The 20,798-nt window shown below is 43.2% G+C and overlaps 1 protein-coding gene and 1 long non-coding RNA gene across 6 annotated transcripts in view; one reads left to right on the top strand and one right to left on the bottom strand.

Annotated features, from left to right (window-relative positions):
- The window catches only part of CPPED1 (calcineurin like phosphoesterase domain containing 1), a 144,089-nt gene that overhangs the window by 42,849 nt on the left and 80,442 nt on the right, over positions 1-20,798 (top strand). The window lies entirely within an intron of this gene.
- LOC105371090 (uncharacterized) lies at positions 490-15,199 on the bottom strand. Of its 4 annotated transcripts, none has more exons than XR_007064994.1 (6): positions 15,061-15,199; positions 7,973-8,048; positions 7,652-7,818; positions 7,124-7,218; positions 3,451-3,550; positions 2,779-2,939 (listed from the first exon to the last, which is right to left on the bottom strand). It is a non-coding gene; the product is annotated as an uncharacterized LOC105371090 (long non-coding RNA). The 4 variants fall into 4 exon arrangements; XR_007064995.1 differs by lacking the exon at positions 2,779-2,939 and adding an exon at positions 2,975-3,060; XR_933088.3 differs by lacking the exon at positions 2,779-2,939 and having other exon boundaries at positions 3,204-3,550; positions 7,124-7,213; positions 15,061-15,166.

The raw sequence follows: 20,798 nt of genomic DNA, 5'->3' as shown, positions 1-20,798 counted from the left end.
TGGAGAAACAGGAACTGAAGAAGACAGGTGTTCCTCACTGGAACTTAATGACAGCCAGCCTAAGATGCCCTTTGGATCTGTACCTACGTAGTACAAAATGATCTGTCACTATGTCTCCATCAGGGCAAAGCCACATGTCTGCAAATGGAAGCAGGGGATGCCTAGTTACAGTCCAGGCCATCCTGCCAGCCCTGGGCCACATCAGCATTATCAGGTTTGGGTTAGTAGGATGATCCTGGCCTGGGAATTGCTTCTCTTTGTTTAATAGACTAGGGCAGCAGTACTCAAAGATGTCACATTTTAAAACTTTACTTATCAGTAAATTAAAAACTGTCCCCAGAGTCCCTGATCTAGGGATCTCTAAACACTTGTTACACGATGCAGGAGATTCTAAGTGCTTCTGAACAGGAGACAGTTGTGTCATTTTCGATGCCTAGGCCTGCTGACAATGTACCTCAGCAACAGCAGGCCCCCAGTAGCATATGACCATATCAGTACAGCAAGGCCCCCAGTGCACCCCGGGAACACCAGGCCCCCAGCAGTAGTATATGACCGTAGTACAGCAGTCCCCGGATTCCAGTAGAGATCACCATGTCCATCTTGTCCAGAATCTCAGCATCACCATCTTAAACTCTTTGTTCTTTCTGAGACACGTAAAATTGTTTCTACCTGTGAAGGGCAAAGTTAGCAATCAATTATCATCATCCTTTGGTATCCATGGAGGATTGGTTCCAGGACCCTCCCAAGGATACCAAGATCCACCAGTCCTCAGGTCCCTGATATAAAATAGTGTGGTATTTGCATATAACCTATGCACACTCTCCTGTATACTCTAAATCATCTATAGATTACCTGTACCCAATACAGTGCTACACATCACTTTATTCTTACGGATTCAGCGTCATACTCAGCACACAGCAAGTTCAAGTTCTGCTTTTTGAAACATCACGGAATTTTTTTTCTGAATATTTTCAATCAGCAGTTGAATCCACAGACGTGGAACCCACAGCTGCCATTGGAAGGATGACTTCATTTAGAAAAGACAGAACAAGGAGCTTTCAGTGGTTGTCCATTTGTCCTTTCTGACCTCCCAGTACTTTGGTATTCCCTTCTGACTTTTGGAGAGTTTGCCCCAGTATTAGTCTGTTTTCACACTGATATAAGGATACCACCTGATACGGGTTTAATTGTCTCACAGTTCCACATGGCTGGGGAGCCTCAGGAAACTTACAGTCAAGATGGAAGGCAAAGGAGAAGCAAGCACCTTTTTCACAAGGCGTCAGGAGAGAGAGCACAAGGGGCAACTGCCCAACACTTTTAAACCATCAGGTCTTGTGAGAACTCACGCACTGTCATGAGAACAGCATGGGGTAACCACACCACCCCCCGACCCCATGATCCAATCACTTCCCACCAGGTCCCTCCCTTGACACACGGGGGTTACAATTTGAGATGAGATTTAGGTGAGAACACAGAGACAAACCGTATCACCCCTTGAATATATTCACCTGCTTTGTGGTATAAACCACCTGCATGATGAAAGCTAGATGGCCTGATGGCCTCTCTGCTTTCTTTGCAGTTAGGACACAGGCATGTATCCCAGGCCCTAGTACTCAGACTCACCTTGAACCAGACTTTGAGCCTTTAGTGAGTGACACAAAGGAGAGGGCAGGATCCATGCTGGTGAGGAAAGTGGCAGCAGAGGCGGGGATCCCAGCATTGTTATTGTCCAGCACCTGCCATCAAGCGGGGCTCTGTGCCTGGGCTTGCGTTTCTCCCTGGGAGCAGTTTTGCATGTGATTTCCGGACTGCTTCTGCTTTAAATCTGGTTCTCTAGCACTTTTTTTTTGTCTTTTTTTTTTTTTTTTTTTTTTTAGAGACAGAGTCTTCGTCTGTTGCCCAAGCTGGAGTGCAGTGGTGTGATCATACCTCACTGTAGCCTCTACTTCTTGGGCTCAAGTGATCCTGCTACCCTAGCCCCCTGAGTAGCTGGGACTGCAGATACATGCCACCATGTCCAGCTAATTTTAAAATTTTTTGTAGGGATGGGGTCTTGCCGTGTTGCCCAGACTGGTCTCAGACTCCTGGGCTCAAGCGATCCTCCTGCCTCTGCCTCCCAGAGTGCTGGAATTACAAGCATGAGCCACCACACCCAGCCTCTATTTTTGTTGTTGCTGTTGTCATTGCTGTCATCATCATCATCATCATCGTGTCTTATTACTAGATTCAGCTGCAGTTCCTGCCTTCTTCCTGAACACTGCTCCAGAAGTACCAGTTTGTGGCAATTCCTTCTACTTGTAGTAAACTGTATAATCAGCCTACTTTATTAACACAGTGCTTTGGCCAGGCTTTCATCTCTTGCCATTGATCTCAGGCACATGATCTAATGGTGAAGAGTCTGGGTTTTAAAGTCAGAAAGTGAAGACATCATGGAAAATAGTGCCTTGGTCAGTGGGCTGGTGGGAGGCTGAACTGAAGTCATGAATGGGAACAATGCCAGGCATGTGACAGGCACTCAGTAATTGTCATGGCTATGAGTGATGGCGTTTCTTGTATTCGCTTCCAGCTTGTGGGCTTCTTGGATAGGTTCTCTGCCATTTATCTGATTGTATCCCAAGTACCTGCCTCACTGTCTGATGACACATCATAGGCGCTCAAAACATACAGGCTTTTTGGAGATTGGGTTTAAAACTCAATGTCATTTAGGAGCTATTTGTCCACAGGCATGCTCCTGGACCCCAATGAGCCTCTGCTTCCTTATCTGTACAGCAGGGGCGATGATATCTGTATTCCTCGGTTGCTTGGAGGATTAAACAAGATTATAAATTGCAGGGCCTGTGAGGCACACTGGGGGTGGCAGTAATGGAGTGATGTCATGGCTGTTTTCCTTTATCCTCACTTGACATGGTGTTCAACTGCATGGTACTGTGTCCCTTTTCCTGCAGGAAGGAAAAGTATGGGAGATAGAAAGGGGCTTTGTTTTCTCTTTCTTTGACTCTCCAGCTCTTATTCAGAATATTCCAAAAGCTTGCCTGGAGAAGCAGGGACAGCCAAAATGCCCTATGACAAAGAGTGGATACTTAATTGCATGATTTGCCTCAATAATGTGTTCTTCTTCCTTTTGTTGCCATATATTTTGCTCTGTTTTAGAGCAGCTGTAGCTATCTCTCAAATTTATTTGGAAACATGGTCTTTCCAGCCAAATGATCTGACACCCCACCGTCTCCTGTAAATAATTACACAATGTTTTAATCTGGCAACATGTGACAGCCTGCTAGAAGGACTTGTCATCCTTTTTTAAAAGGTTGCCATTAGGACTGGTCTGGCAGATTGTCTGAAAGGCATGAAGTCCGTTGCGGATGCAAAGTGTTACTCGCTCACAACACATACGCTGCTAAGGCCCCCAGTGTGCCTGCTAGGAAGAATTTGTGCAGGCACGGGCCCCCTTACATTACTTAGCAGTCTTCCCTTTGCAGTTTCCCCGGTGTGAATACAAGAGGTACAAACAGGATCCATGTGGAATATCGATGCCCAGGATCTGAGGCTCTATCTGTAAAATACAAAACATTCAAAGGGAAGCCAGTAGAGACATTCAATTTTGTGGGTTTTATTTTCCCCATGTAAGTAAGATCCCCCTGTGCAGTTCTGGTAGGCAAACCCTGTAGGCCGACTGCATTATATTGGGCCCTTCAAATTTGTAGTAATGCTTGTAGTTATGCTTTGGAATCTGTCTTCTTCCAAATTAGGGTGACCAACCAGCCTGGTTTGCCCAGGACTGTTCTGGTTTTAGCACTGAAAAGTCCCACATCCTGGGAAACCCCTCAGCCCTGGGCTATAACTTTGTTGGTCACCCTCGAGGTGCTATAACTTAGTTGGTCACCCTCGAGGTGCTATAACTTAATTGGTCACCCTCGAGGTGCTGTAACTTAGTTGGTCACCCTCAAGGTGCTGTAACTTAGTTGGTCATCCTCGAGGTGCTATAACTTAGTTGGTCACCTCGAGGTGCTATAATAGGGTCCTACCTTACTTACCCTGATTCTAGTTTGTGAAGATAAACGTTTTTTCACGGGATTGAATCTAAAAATTTTAGAAGTAAGATGTGGAAAGTTGTTGACATCATTTAACATGGATGTTTAATACTCTCTAGGGGGAAACACTTTTGGGAGAGCACTGTAGGTGTCTATAACTTTGATCTCAAGGGTTAAATTGGTATCATAAACTTCCATAGGGACCCTTAATTGCTTAGTTTTGTCTGATTTATCATTTTGCTGGCTGGCTTTCCTGGCATGTGTCAAGGGAATCACTCACTGTTTTAATTTTATTTTTTTAATTTTTTAGACAGAGTCTTGCTCTGTTGCCCAGGCTGGGGTGCAGTGGTATCTCGGCTCACTGCAACCTCTGCCTCCTGGGTTCAAGTGATTCTCGTGCCTCAGCCTCCCAAGTAACTGGGATGACAGGTGTGCTCCACCATGCCTGTGCCATCACACCCAGCTAATTTTTTTGTATTTTTAGTAGACACAGGGTTTTGCCATGTTAGCCAGCTGGTCTCGAACTGACCTCAAGTGGTCCTCCCTCCTCAGCCTCACAGAATGCTGGAATTACAGACATGAGCCACCGCACCTGGCTCACTGTTCTTAAATGCATCTCTGCTGCCACAGCCCCAGAGTAGTTTGCGTGGAACTGCCCACGTGAGATGCAGCATTGTTGCAGATCACTCCCATAATTTGCAGCATTTTGCCCTTGTGAATTTCAGTTTGAGACTCTTATTTAAGACGATAACTGACTACATCCACAGCTTCTCAGTATGGACAGCGTGTCCTTCCCAAATTGCCAGTCTTGTGGACGTGTCATTATATGAGTTTCAGCTGGCCTAGAGCTGAACCAACTTCCGATTTTTTTTTGTTTTTTTTGACGGAGTTTCGCTCTGTTGCCCAGGCTGGAGTGCAGTAGCGCGATCTTGGCTCACTGCAAGCTCCGCCTCCTGGGTTCACGCCATTCTCCTGCCTCAGCCTCCCGAGTAGCTGGGACTACAGGTGCCCGCGACCACGCCCGGCTAATTTTTTGTGTTTTTATTGGAGACAGGTTTTCACCGTGTTAGCCAGGATGGTCATCTCCTGACCTCAGGTGATCCGCCCGCCTTGACCTCCCAAAGTGCTGGGTTTACAGGCGTGAGCCACCGTACCCAGCAACTTCTGATTCTTTGAGGCATCTTGCAGAGTGCCCCCACCACGCCCCTGCCATGCAAATTTCATATATGCCACATAACTTGGATTTCACATGACGCTGTCCCAAACATATCTTCTAAATTTGCTGAATGTGTCTAGCTGTTTTCCTATGATGAAGCAAATGAGTAAATTAACTTTATTGTATGCGTATTAGCCTTCTGGAAAGTATTTATATCTATCACAAAAATGCCCTAACATCCTAACAAGTAGACACATAAAGATACATATTGAGGCAGGGTGTGGTAGTTCATGCCTGTAATCCTAGCATGTTGAGAGGCTGAGGTGGGAGGATTGCTTGAGGCCAGGAGTTCATACACCAGCCTCAGCCACATAGTGAGACCCCATCTCTACAAAAAATACAAAAATTAGCCAGGCATGGTGGCATGCACCTGTAGTCCCAGCTACTCAGGAGGCTGAGGTAGGAGGATTGCTTGAGCCTGGGAGGTCAAGGCTGCAGTGAGCTATGATCGTGCCACTGAACTGCAGCCTGGGCAACAGAGGGAGACCTTGTCTCAAAAAAAAAAAAAAAAAAGAATGCATACTGTATGCTTGTGAGAAGGTTACCCTGAGAGAATGTCAGTGATTAATACATGAGCATCACTGGTATGCTCGTCATAAAAATGATGCAATTCCAATGCCAGAAGGGACCCATCAGAGATGATTTGACCCCATTTTTGCCACTTTATGTCCAGGAGGAAACTGTTCACCTTAGTCTTGAATAAGCCACATTTGCCTGCAGCTTCCTGGGAGCAGATGTTTTCCAGTGAATCTGACTTACCTTTTTCTGCTAGCTACACATTTTTTGTACAACAGATCTCTCTGTTGCCCAGGCTAGAGTGCAGTGCTGTAGTCACGGCTCACTACAGCTTCTAACTCCTGTGCTCAAGCCATCCTCCCACCTCAGCTCCTGAATAGCTGGGACTACAAGTACACACCACCATGCCGGCCTAATTTAAAGAATTTTTTTTTTAATTTTAATAGAGACAGAGGTCTCACTGTGTCGCCCAGGCTGGTCTCGAACTCCTGGTTTCAGGTGATCCTCCCGCCTTGGCCTCCCAAAGTGCTGGGATTACAGGTGTGAGCCACAGCACCTGCCTATGCTACACTTTAACATTTTTTTCAGTTGGGTCCATTGTGGGGCCAAAGAAAAGCTGGTATTCTCCCTTTTGGCCTCTGCCTGTCAGCTGTGGAGAAGGTCCTGTGAAATTGGATTTTTATAAATAGACTATGCAGGAGGACCTTAGAGGGACTCTGCACTGGATGCTTTTGTAAGATGAAGAACCTGCTTATAATGTGCACATGCCCCTTTAATTTGTTTAATCAGATTTGTAGACATCAGGTTTAGAAATTGGGCCCCCCTTCCCTGAGTGTATTAAATGTGACTGCTTTTAGCATGGGGGGCCCGTCTCATGATGGGGAAAGACAGGCGCCCCTGTGTGTGTTCACCACAGCAGATCCACAGCTAACAAGCAGCTGCTGGTGAAATAAAGTTGCCTTGAACTAAGAGGGCTTCATCTGGTGTTTGGTTTGGCTTGAAAACACTCTGTCGAAATGTTCTAGAGGTGGAGCTGGTTTTAAAATCAATATTATTTCATCTGTCATCAAACAGAGCCTCTAAACCCTCAAATGGGTGGGTTCAAAAGCCACAGTGAACCCGAGTGTGCCCCTCCATCACTGAGATGCAGTTTAGGGACTAAGCGTCTCTGTTTTCTTCTACCTGAAAAAGCAATGGTGTACAAAGAAATGAAAAACTCTGCGTGCAGAGCCTCAGAGGGCTGTCAGCTGGAAAGGAGGGCTACCAAGACCCCCGTGAGACTGACTTTCTCGTGATGCAATGACCAGGATCACCCTTGCAAGCAACCAGAGCTGCCATTCATTACCCAGCCTGTCATTCTTACCTAGGTTCTCCCCAAGCCACACAGGAGGGCCAGCTTCATTTCCTCTTTTCCTGGATCGGTCACCAGATAGGATTGGATAACCTCAGAAAGCTACACTTTATGAAAGGGAGACGTTAAAAAAATAAATGAGAGGGGGCTCCTGTAGGGAGAAGAACCAAATAAAGAACCACAGGCTCCCTGTGGAAAACGGGAAGTGTGTTCACATTAGGGGCAGGAGGGCGGGTAGACACATGGATTCTGAGGAAGGGGGAATTTATGAATGTATGAGGTGGCTGGGGTTGTTGAGACTTGGGAAGATTGAGAATCCAGGGACAGGAAGAGTAGTCAGACCTGGAGGAGGAGGGGAGGGTCTAGGCATGGAGATCAGTGACCAGGAAAGGTGGCCATCTGACCAGGAAGGGTGGCGATCAGTGACTTTTGCCATCACTGGGACCGCATGGCCTTCTGTTCTCTGCTGCTGCTGCTGCTTTTGTTTGTTCCTTTGCCAAAGCCTGGCTTTCTTGGTTTTGGGGCACGCACGGGACCTACCCCTGCCATGGCTTCGTAGGATTTCACAGCTCAGCTCTTGAATGAGATGCGTTGACATCAAAATATTATCAGTTTCAATTTCACCCAAAGAGTAAAGGTGATTAGCTCTGCTGGGGACAGACGTCTCCCGAGGCCAGGATCACACTGCAGGACAGCATCACTGGGGGCTAGGATTTCAACATGCGAATTTGGGAGTGACACAAACATTCAGTCCATAGCAGTGTGTAAAGAAATCCAGTAACTTTTCAAAGAAATATTTTTCACAGTGAATAGAATAATAGGATAGTAAAAAAAAATTTAGATCATAAATTCACACTATACCGAATTTATGAAGGTTCAGACATGTTGAATTTGCTTAACTGAACATCATTTTGCTATCGGTCTTCAGTTTATGAATCTGAAAGGCAAGAGAGTTTGGAGTTTATGGCTAGAGAGGCGGAAATAGATATATGTCATTAATATATTGACATATTTATATATTATATAATGTTATTAATATGTAATTATATATTATATTAATAAATAGTACAGCTAGTATATAATACATAATCTAATTAATATATGTTATGTAATGTCTTGCCAGAGATGAATTTTAATAGATAATTTCTACTAGCTCCAAATGTTTTTCTTTGTTTTTATTTTATTCTGGTGCAGTTTTTGAAAGCACTTCATTTTTGGCATGTGTTTTAGTTTGCAAGATTTTATATATATAAATATATATTATATATCATATAATATATAAACATATACATAATATATAATATAAATATATATACTATATATATAAATTTTCATACCATTACATACTGTCTTTTTATTCATTTGTTTACCTGCCAGGATAGACTTCTAACTGATTTTCAGAATTTAATAAATTTGATCTACTCAGAGCTGACACAGATTGATTTATTCCCAACAATCTAAAGGCAACTGTGGTTGAACAGAAGGCCGTTAGAGAGAATTAAGTGAGGGCTGTCAAGATTAAACAAAGCTTCCATATTTCGTGTGGTAGAGTAGGAGATAACATAAGAGTTTCTTATCAAGCATGACAACTCATTAAACCCCTAACAGTGATTCAGGAGCCAGTTTATGTCATAAACTAACATCAATTAGGCTTTTTAAGAGCCAGAAGATGCTTTTCACACCAAAATCCAGTTACAGCCTGTGATGTTTTTTTAATAGACTTTCTTAAAGAAAGCAGGAGCCTTTTTATATTCAAACAGCACTTTAACCTCTGCTCTATTCTCATTGTGTTTAAGTTTATAAACCAGAACTAGTTTATTACGAGGAAGCTTTAATCTTCAAAGCAAAGTTGTGCTCAGTAATTTGGGATAGAGTGGGAAATGCTTTGACCTGGGGAGTCAGACAAAACTGGGTTTGAATTCTATGACTTTGGTGGCTCTAGGAAGCTTGCTTTTTACTTCCTATTCAGAGCTTCCTAGCACAGACATTTCTCATTTATTTTATCACTGAGTCCTGAAAATCTTACTGAGGATTAGGTATTGGGCTACAATTTCTTTTTAAGTTTTAAATGTTTCAGCATCTTAGAAAAACTGAAAAGCATAAAAAAACACCAAAAATAGTCTAAAGATTAATATAACGCATACACATGCATCCCTAGCCAGCTTCAGAAGTAAAACATTATCAGTCCTATTTAAGCCTCCTGTGTGCCAGTTTTAGTTAGGGATAAGGGCATGTGACAAGAAAATGCAAAGAACAGTGGCATATGTTAAGAGTTTATTTTTCTCTCAGGTAATGAGACATTTGGAGACATGGGTTCCTGGGACCCGGGACTTCCTAGCTTTCTGCTCCTTCATCTTTAGGGTATGGCTGTTGTCTTTGTGCTTACAAAATGGCTGCAGGAGCTGCAGCCATCACATCTGTATTCTACGAAGGAGGAAAGGTCAGTAGCAAAAGGACTTTTCAAGGAGGTCTATCCAATGACTTTTACTCTAGAGACCAGAATTGTACTGAAAAATGTAATATATTTTCATGTTGTGGCTGGTTGGATCTTCTATCCTGATCACTAAAACTTTCTTCATATCAGCCATAAGGCTGTTTCACTTTCCTATCATTTGTGTGTTTACTGGAGTAGCACTGTTAATTTCCTTAAGAACACTCTGCTGGAACACTTGCTGCCAACAAAAAGAAGGGTTATTAGATAGGAAGGTAGCCACCTCTCCCTGAGAACATTCCTCTGCTTCCCTCCAGAGGTAAGTATTATCTTTAAGAGTTTTGGGTTTTTGATTGTATCTCTCTATATTTTTATTACAGGCATACCTTATTTTATTGGGCTTCTCTTGATTGTACTTTATAGATACTGTGTTTTTTTACATATTGAAGGTTTGTGGCAACCATGCATCCAGCATCATTTTTTCTGTTTTTTTTGTTGTTGTTGTTTGTTTGTTTGTTTTTCCTTTTTTGAGACAGAGTCTTGCTCTGTCACCCAGGCTGGAGTGCAGTGGCACAGTCTTGGCTCGCTGCAACCTCCACCTCTCAAGTTCAAGGATTTCTCCTGCCTCAGCCTCCCGAGTAGCTGGTATAGACATGAGGCACCACGCCTGGCTAATTTTTGTACTTTTAGTAGAGACAGGATTTCACCATGTTGGCCTGGCTGGTCTTAAACTCCTGACCGCAAGTGATCCGCCCACCTCAGCCTCCCAAAGTACTGGGACTATAGGCGTGAGCCACTGCGCCCGGCCTCTGTTAGCATCATTTTTTCAACAGCATATTCTTACATCTTGGTAATTCTTGCAATATTTTGAACTTTTTCTTCTTTACTATATCTGTTATGGTGATCTGTGATCGGTGATCTTTGATGGTGTGATCATTCTGGGGTGCCACAAACCATGTCCATTTAAGGTGGCAAATATAATAGATAAATGGGTGTGTTCTGACTGCTCCACTGAGTGGCCATTTCCCTGTCTCTCTCCCTCTTTTGGGGCCTCCTTATTTCCTGAATCACACTAATAATGAAATTAGGTCACTTACTAACCCTATACTGGCTTCTAAGCGTTCAAATGAAAGGAAGAGTCATACATCCTTTGCCTTAAATAGAAAGCTAGAAATGATTAAGCTTAGTGAGAAAGGTATGTCAGAAACTGAGAGAGGCTGAAAGCTAGGCTTCTTGTGCCAAACAGCCAGGTTGTGGTTGCAAAGGAAAAGTTCTTAAAGGAAACTAACAAGTGCTAGCGATTCCTCTAAACACATAAATGATAAGAAAGTGAAACAGCCTTATTGCTGATATGGAGAAAGTTTTAGTGGTCGGGATGGAAGATCAAACCAGCCACAACATTCCCTTAAGCCAAAGTCTAAGGTTCACGAGGTTTAAGGAAAGAAGCCATCTCCACAACAGAAACGTTTAATGTATTTAAGAAATACGTTTCATAAAGCTGTAGCTGCCATAGATAGTGACTCCTTGGATGGATCTGGGCAAAGTAAACTGAAAACCTTCTGGAAAGGATTCACCATTCTAGATGCCATTAAGAACATTCGTGATTCTGCCAGGCGCGGTGCCTCATGCATGTAATCCCAGCACTTTGGAAGCCCAAGGCAGGCAGCTCATTTGAGGTCAGGGGTTCAAGACCAGCCTGGTCAACATGATGAAATCCCCCGTCTCTACTAAAAATACAAAAATTAGCCAGGTATGGTGGCGGATGCCTGTAATTCAAGCTACTTGGGAGGCTGAGAGGAGAATCACTTGAACCTGGGAGGCGGAGGTTGCAGTGAGCTGAGATTGCACCACTACACTCTAGCCTGGGTGTAGAGTGAGACTCCATCTAAAACAAACAAACAAACAAAATTTGTGATTCGTGGGAGGAGGTTAAAATATTAACATTAACAGGAGTTTGGAAGAAGTCGATTCCAGTCATCATGGATGACTTCGAAGGGTTTAAGACTTCAGTAGAAGACAGAACTGCAGATGTGGTAGAGATAGCAAGACAGCTGGAATTAAAAGTGGAGTCTGAAGATGTGACTGAATTGCAATCTCATGATCAAAACTTGAACAGATGAGGAGTTGCGTCTTATGGAATGAAGAAAGAGAGTGGTTTATTGGGATGGAATCTACTCTTGGTGAAGATGCTGCGAACATTGCTGAAATGACAACAAAGAATTTAGAGTATTCCATAAACTCACAATGCAGTGGCATTGTTTCAGATAATTCACTGCAATTTGGAAGGACATTCTGTAGATGAAATGCTATTAAACAAAACAGCTTTACATGCTACAGAGAAATCTTTCATGGAAGGAAGAGTCAGTTGATACAGACAACTTCATGGTTGTCTTATTTTAAGAAATTGCCCCAGCCACCCCACCTTTCAGCAGCTAGCGTCCTCATCAGTCAGAGGTCATGAACATCAAGGCAAGGCCCTCTACTAGCAAAAAGATTGTGATTCACTGAAGGCTCAGATGATTGCTAGCATTTTTTTTTTTAGCAATAAAGTATTTTTAATTAAGGTATGTATTTTTTTTAGACATAATGCTATTGCATACTTTTTTTTTTTTTTGAGATGGAGTCTCGCTCTGTTGTCCAGGCTGGAGTTCAGTGGTGAGATCTCTGCTCACTGCAGCCTCTGCCTCCTGGGTTCAAGTGATTCTCCTACCTCAGCCTCCTGAGTAGCTGGGATTATAGGCGTGCACCACCACAACCGGCTAATTTTTTATTTTTAATAGAGACAGAGTTTCACCATGTTGGTCAGGCTGGTCTAGAACTCTTGACCTCATGATCCGCCCACCTCAGCCTTCCAAAGTGCTGGGATTACAGGCATGAGCCACCGCGCCCGGCCAGTCTTGCATACTTAATAGACTACAGCGGAGTGTAAATATAACTTTTATATGCACTGGGAAACCAAAGAATTTGTGTGACTTGCTTTATTGAGATACTTTATTGTCGTGGCCTGGAACTGAATCTGCAATATCTCTGAGGTATGCTTTTAATATTTGTATGTATTCCTCAGAAATATATAAGCTTATTTCACATGTTTTTAAACTGTGTGTAAATGGTATCGTATCTCACATATTTTCTTTTACAGATTTGTTTCCCTGTATGTTAGAAAGCCTTCTGTATTCATATGGATCATTCATATGGATCATTCTAGTTCATTTATTTTCATTGTTGTAGAGTATTACCATATATGAGTATAACACAATTTAGTTAACCATTGTGCTGTGTTTGGGCATAGGTTGTTTTCAGCCTTTTGCTACCACAAATTATGCCACTATGAGTGAGCTTTCTCCTTTGTTACTGTGCCCATATGCAAGAGATTCTGGAATAATCACTTCAGCATTCCAGGATATTGCTAGATTTTGTCTACGAAATGGTATGTTAATTTATACGCATAGCAGAAATGTGTGCGAATGTCCACTGGCTGTTTCCTCACCGACACTTTCAGTTGTTGGGCTTCTAATTTTGACCAGTCTCTTGGGTGTGAGACGGGCACTGCGTGGTGTTCCTCTTTTAGGTTTATGGAGATATAATTGGCAGACATTTAAAAATGCGCACACAGTGAACAGTTTTTCAGTAGCTTTATTGGGTTATATGTTATATTTAACATGCAATGAACTGCACACGTTTGAAGTGTGCAATTTAATAAATGTTGACATATGTATATACCTGTGAAACTACAATCACAATAATGAGTGCACGTGTCACGCCCAAAGTTTCCTCGTTAAGGCCGGGCGCGGTGGCTCATGCCTGTAATTCTAGCACTTTGGGAGGCTGAGGCGGGCAGATTGCCTGAGCCCAGGAGTTTGAGACCAGACAGGCAACATGGGCCTGGAGTTTTCGTTGTGTGTAGGTTTTTACACATTTAATTTATTTAATAGCTACAAGGCTATTCAGGTGATGTATTTTTCCATGAGTGATTTTTCAGTATGATGTGCCTATAGAGGGATTTTTTTCCTTTTCTATGGAATGTGATTATTTATTTATTTATTTATTTATTTATTTATTTATTTTTAAAACAGAGTCCCCCTTTTCGTCCAGGCTGGAATGCAGTGGTGCAATCATGGCTCCCTGCAGCATCACCCTGTCAGGCTCAATCAATCCTCCTACCTCAGCCTCCTGAGTAGCTGGGACTACAGATGCCAGTCATTGTGCCTGGCAAATTTGTGTACTTTTTATAGAGAGGTGGGATTTTGCCATGTTGCCCAGGCTGGTCTTATATTCCTGGGCTCAAGCAATCCGCCCACCTCAGTCTCCCAAAATGCTGGGATTACAGACATGAGCCACCATGCCCGGCCTTATTGATATTTCTATTGGTAGAATTCAAACCTACCATGTTGCCATTTATTTCCCATTCTTCTTCTTTTTTTTTTTAATTTTTTTTTTATTTTTTGGGAGTAAACTCTGGAAAGCCTGGATTCCAAAAGAGTTGTAACACTACTTCCCATTTTTCTATATGTTGTCTGTTCCCCTTTTTCCTCTTTTCCTCACTTCTTTTAGATTATTTTTCCTGATCCCACTTGAGTTCCACCTGGCCCATTAGCTATAACCCTTTATTGTAGCATTTTCGAGGTTGCATTAGCGTGCACAGTGTACATCTTTAACTTCTCACAGTCCACCTGCAAGCGATATCACCCCACTTTGCGTATTACATAAGACCCTGATAACAATAGACACCCATTCCTCCATTCCTGTGCTTTGTGCTATGGGTGTCACATATTTTACTTCCACAAATAAATGCTAAAAACCCTGCCATATGCTGTCGTGATTTTTTTTCTTTTACAAAGACAATTTCCTTTCAAAGAAATTTAAATTATAAGAAAAAAAAAGGATTCTGTGTTTGCCCACATAGTTGCCATTTCTGGTGGGCTTCGTGCCTTTGTCTAGATCCAGAGCCGCATCTGGTATTGGCTTTCTTCTGCTTCCAGCCTTCCTTTAACCCTTCTTTTTGTAACCAGCCCCAGGCTGCTGATGATGTACTTTTTCAGGATGTCTGTGAAAGTTTTTATGTTACCTTTGTTTTGGAAAGTTTGTCTCACTGGACATCGAATTTTTTTTTTTTTTTTTTTTTTGAGTCAGAGTCTTGCTCTGTCGCCTAGGCGGGAGTGCAGTGGTACACTCTCAGCTCACTGTAACTCTGCCTCCAAGGCTCAAGCAATTTTCCTGCTTCAGCCTCCCAAGTAGCTGGGATTACAGGTGTGTGCCACCACACCCAGGTCATTTTTGTATTTTTAGTAGAGACGAGGTTTTTCCATGTTGGCCAGGCTGGTCTCGAACTCCTGACTTCAGGTGATCTGCCCACCTCAGTCTCCCAAAGTGTTGGGATTACAGGCGTGAGCCACCACACCCTGCCGGGACATAGAATTGTAGCGTGACAATTTTGTTTTGTATTGATTTTTCAGTACCTAAATTTTTTTTTTTCTTCTGGCTTGCAGTACTTCCAAGAAGAAACTGCTACAATTCTTACCTTTTCCTCTGTATAATGTGTTTTTTCTGTCTGGCTGCTTTTCAGATTTTCTCTTTATCGTTGGTTTTAAGCAATTTGATTATAATATGCCTTGGTGTCATTTTATGTTTCTTCTGTTTTTCATCTTTATTTTAGGTTTAGGGATACATGTGAAGGTTTATTACATAGGTAACTTGTGCTATTGTTGCATATTTTAACTTCCACAGTAACAGGTTTGCTATACATATTATGACATCACCCAGGTATTCAGCTCAGTACCCAATGGTTATCTTTTCTGCTCCTCTCTCTCCTCCCACCCTCCCGCCTTAAGCGGACCCCAGTGTCTGTTGTTTCCTTCTTTGTACACATAAGTTCTTATCATTTAATTCCCACTTATAAGTGAGAACATGCGGTATTTGGTTTTCTGTTCCTGGGTTAATTTGCTAAAGATAATAGCCTCCAGTTCCACCCATGTTCCTGCAAAAGACATGATCTCGTTCCTTTTTTTATAGCTGTGTAGTGTTCCATGGTGTATATGGACCACATTTTCTTTATCCAATCTGTCGTTGGTGGGCATTTAGGTTGACTCCATGTCTTTTCTATTGTGAACAGTGCTGCAGTGCACATTCGCATGCATGTGACTTTATGGTAGAATGCTTTATATTCCTCTGGGTATGTACCTGGTAATGGGATTGCTGGGTCTTCTTTATGTTTCTTTCATTCAGAGTTCATTGAGGTTCTTAGTCTGTGAATTCATAACTCGCATCATATTTGAAGAGATTTCAGCCCGCCTTTCTTCACGTATTTTTTCTGTCCCCACCTCTGTTTGAGGGATTTCTGTTGCACACTTATTAGCCTGCTTGAAGTTGTCCCACAGCTCACTGATACTCCGAGAGTGTTTGTTACTGTTTTTGTCTCTTTTCCCCCTCTATATTTCCTTTTGGACTGCCTTTAAGTTCATTGATCTTTCCTTTTGTAGTGTCTAATCTGTTATTTTTACTTTTGTATTTTTGAGACAAGGTCTGGCTCTATTGCCCAAGGCTGGAGTTCAGTAGTGTGATCTCAGCTCACTGCAACCTCAACCTCCTGGGCTCAAGTCATCCTCCCATACTCTCAGCCTTCCAAGTAGCTGGGATTATAGGCATGTGCCACGATGCCTGGCTTATTTTTGTATTTTTTGTGGAGATGGTGTTTTGCCATGTTGCCCAGGAGGCTGGTCTTGAACTTGTGAGCTCAAGCAGTCTGCCTGCCTCGGCCTCCCAAAGTACTGGGATTACAGGTGTGAGTCACCACGCCTGGCTTCTGTCCTTCAAACTCTTAATGCTTTGATGCCTGCACTCCCAGCTCTATTTTCTCATCTCAGGGAGACTGTCAGACCCTTCCTGTGTTCCCCTCTCTGTAGCATGGCCTAGAAATCCTGCAGTCCGACGCCTGTAGGGCCTGTCTCACTAGCGTCCTGTCTCTTACGGGTCACTGGCTGCCGTAGCCTGCTAGTCCATGTCTCAAGTACTGTGGCTTCGTGTTTCTTGTCCAGTTTTTTAATTCTTCCAGGCAGGAGGGTAAACCCAGTGTGTGTTCCTCCTCCTTGGCTAGAAGAAGAAATAAGTCCTCACTGTGGTATTAATTTCCTTTTTATAATTCTTAGAGAAGTTGAGCTTGCTTGCTTGCTTGCTTGCTTGCTTGCTTGCTTGCTTGCTTGCTTTCTCTCTCTCTCTCTCTCTCTCTCTCTTTCACAGAGTCTTGCTCTGTCGCCCAGGCTGGAGTGCAGTGGCACAATCTCACTGCAAGCTCCGCCTCCTGGGTTCACGCCATTCTCCTGCCTCAGCCTCCCAAATAGCTGGGACAACAGGCACCTGCCACCACGCCCGGCTAATTTTTTGTATTTTTAGTAGAGACAGGGTTTCACCATGTTAGCCAGGATGGTCTCAATCTCCTGACCTCGTGATCCACCCGCCTCAGCCTCCCAAAGTGCTGAGATTACAGGTGTGAGCCACCACGCCCAGCCACATCTTTCTTTCTTTCTTTTTGGTTTTTGTTTGTTGTTTGAGACAGGGTCTTGCTCTGTCGCCCTGGCTCACGTGAACCTCCCACCTCAGCCTCCCAAGTAGCTGAGACCACAGGTGTGAGCCACCACTCCTGGGTAATGTTTGTATTTTTTTGTAGAGATGGGGTTTCATCGTGCTGCCCAGACTGCTCTCAAACTCCTGGGCTCAAGTGATCCACCTGCCTTGACCTCCTAAAGTGCTGGAATTACAGGTGTGAGCCACCGTGCTCAGCCGAGTGTCTTTCGTATGTTTTCTGAGCACGTGGATTTCCATTTCTCTGCATTCTCTGTTCATCTCAGCCTGTTTGTTCCATTGAGATAAATGACTTTTTCTTGGTAACTTAGAGTACTTTGTGTATTTACAGGTTAATCCCTTATCAACTTATATCAGTTGCTGCTATCTTTTCTTAGATTTTTCTTTTCATTTTAAAAATTACATTGTTTCAATGAACAGAATTTTTAAGTTTTAACGTAGTCCACTTTGTCCATTTTCTTTATGACCGGTGCATTTTAGGGTCTTGTTTAAGAAATCGTTCTTTATCCTGAGGTCATAAAGATAGTCTACTGTATTTTCTTTTAAGAGCTGAAAAGGTGTTTTATATTTAATTTATTTGGGATTGGCTTTTGTGTGGTGGGGATAAGGATCACAATTTTATTTCATTTTTTTTCCACTTGGTTATGCCAGTGGCCCCATTTCCATTTTTTGAATAGTCTTTCTGTGCAGAAAAGACTTCACTAGCAGAGAAGTCCTGAGACTTACCCTTCAAAAGGCCCCATTCACAAGGCTAGCACTTGGCGTGCATCTGAGAACCTGGATTTTGGGGTGGTTCCTATAATGTGGTGTATGCTGAACACCCACCTTTCCTTCTGGGAGTCTGGAATTTGGGTATATGTTGGACAGAGGCTGCCTAAGTGACCAGCTTCAACAACAGCCCTGGGTGCTGGGTCACTCATGACCCATAGACAAAATGCCACACATGTTGTCACAGCTTATTGCTGGAGGAGTTAGCACATCCTGTGTGACTGCACTGGGAGAGGAAACTGGTGCCTGGTTCCCTGTGTATTCGTCCCACGCCTCCAGTCCCTTTGCTGATCTCGTTTTTTGTCCTTTTGCTGAGATAAATCACAGCCAGGAGTATGACAATATGCGGGGTCCTGTGAGTCCTCCTAACAAACAGTTCAATCTGGGGGTGATCTTTGGGATCCCCAACAACTGTCGTTTCCCCACTGATAATAAAATAACTGAGAAGCAGCTATTGGGCAATGTTCTGAACTACCCTTGAACATTCATGTCTTCATCTGAACATCCATCTACTACCCCTGATTTTTCAGTGCAGGGTGCATATCCTGTATCACCCAATAAATGGTCATTGATCACCATAGGAAAGGAACAGTGAAAGCTCCACGGTGGTTTGGAGGAAGGTGGCAGGCATTCAGCGGTAACTCTTTTGAGCAGATAGATTTTATGTTTTTGCAATGAGTGAAATAAATTTTCCCATATCTATTTAAGGTTGGCAATCATTATCTTTTTATCATCTTGGAACATTTGTAATTCCTTTAATATGTTTAGTTAGGAATTTTCTACCTTCCTCATCTTGTCCGATAGTTTAAAATCCCACAGTTATTTCACGGGCTCCTCATACCTGCCTGTGTGATTTCTAACATGTCACGCTATGCAACCAGTTGCTTTTACTTGTAGAGTGTTTCTTTAGGTAATAGCTTATTATTGGTTATGTGATTACAGTGTGTTAAAGACAGGTCTGTAGTTATGTAAAATGCCGTTTCTCTGAGTATCATGGTCATTTCCACATATTTCTCTATTCATGTATTTGTAAGAATATATCTATTTTTGCAGTATTTTATTTATTTATTTATTTTATTTTATTTTCTGAAACGGAGCCTTGTTCTGTCACCTAGGCTGGAGTGCAGTGGTCTGATCTCGACTCACTGTGACCTCCCCCTCCCAGGTTCAAGCGATTGTCCCGCCTCATCCTCCCAAGTCATTGGGATTACAGTCATGTGCCACGAAGCCCTGCTAATTTTTTGTATTTTTAGTAGAGACAGGATTTCACCATGTTGGCGATGCTGGTTTCGAACTCCTGGTTTCGAACTCCTGACCTCAAGTGATCCACCTGCCTCGGCCTCCCAAAGAACTGGGATTACGGGCGTGAACCACCACGCCAGGTCAGTTTTGCAGTGTTTTAAATACTGTTGTCTTTGAGAGGAGAGAGGCACGCACATAGACTATGGTGATTACCATCATATACTGGAAAGTGCAAAGTGTAGCGCAGTTAACTGTGAGCCATCTCATCAAACCCTAACAGATGTCTCATTTGTCCATAAAGGGGCTTCTGTCCCATAGAAATTCATGTACCCAACCTACTCTTCAACCATGATTTTTCTCTGATGGCCTGTGTGAACAGATTAATGGTGTCCATCTAATTCCTTCCCCACTGGGGGAAAGCAAATCATCAGGCCCATTGCAAAAACTGCTCTTGGTTGAGCTTCCTGCCTTAAATCATACCCACAGTGAATGGCGTCCCTTTATCACCGCTAATGACTCTGACATCTCTCTCCACTCACATGTGAGCCTCCTCAGCTCTCGATAAACAAGTCTGTCTCGGTTCATTTATTCTACAAAAAAAAAAAAAAAAAGGGCAGCCAGAGGAGGATTTATTTTTTTCTGCTGATTTTTAAAAGTCTGATGTGAAACCATTCTGAGTGTCTCTGGTGCCATTTATGAGGCAGAACCATTCTTTCTGATGATTTACTCTCTCTGCCGTCCTGCCCACTATATTTTAAGTACTATCCTAGTTGGCCTGGAGTTACTATGATATTTTGTCATAATTGGGCCCCATTATATTGCTATGTCGGGCAGTTTTCCTGTTTTAGAAAGGGCACTGTTATCTAGTGCAATGCTGGCTCCTTAGAGATGTGGATTAAATGACTTGCTAAGCCTGTTAAATAGTTGTGGACTCATCCTTTTCTCTTGTGATCAGCCGGGAAAGCTGGTGGATCACTTAGGAGAGTGTTTGCCTGCAGGTAACAAGCCACCCAGTATTGGGAGCTGAAAGCAGTAGGGGACATGGTGCAGCAGCCCAGCAGCACCCTCCCGGACCAGGGGCTTTCTAACCTTCTGACAGATTCTCACACTCTGTGCTCTCCTTTCCTGCCACAGGGCCTTGCACCTGCTGTTCACTCTGCTAGGGATTCTCTCCTTCACCCCTGCTCCCCCAGCATTCTCATCACCCACTGAGGAAAGCTGCCCTTGCCCCTGCAGCTGGCTGAAAACCCCTGCTATATAAAGGAGTGGGCCAAGCACTCCCTTCTTTGTAACGCTAATAATATATTCTAATTTGACATTTAGCTGTGAGGCCCTTCTATTGTCCTCATCCCCAGTAGACGGTAAACTCCATGAGTGCAAGGACCAGACCTAATTAGTCATGATTGGTATGCACTAGGAATACTTTTGGCTACGGGTTTTTAAAAAGTAGCTTTTTTTTTTTTTTTTGAGGCAGAGTCTCGTTCTGTTGCCCAGGTTGGTGTGCAGTGGTGCAATCTCTGCTCACTGCAACCTCTGCCTCCCAGGTTCAAGAGATTCTCCCACCTCAGCCTCCTGAGTAGCTGGGACTACAGGTGCCTGCCGTCATGCCCGGCTAATTTTTGTATTTTTGTAGAGATGGGGTTTCACCATGTTGGCCAGGCTGGTGTTGAA

This window comes from Homo sapiens, chromosome 16 (genome assembly GCF_000001405.40).
Source record: "Homo sapiens chromosome 16, GRCh38.p14 Primary Assembly".
Classification (NCBI taxonomy): Eukaryota; Metazoa; Chordata; class Mammalia; order Primates; family Hominidae; genus Homo; species Homo sapiens.
Note: the sequence above shows the minus strand (reverse complement) of the source record. Positions and strands in the feature narration are given on the sequence as shown.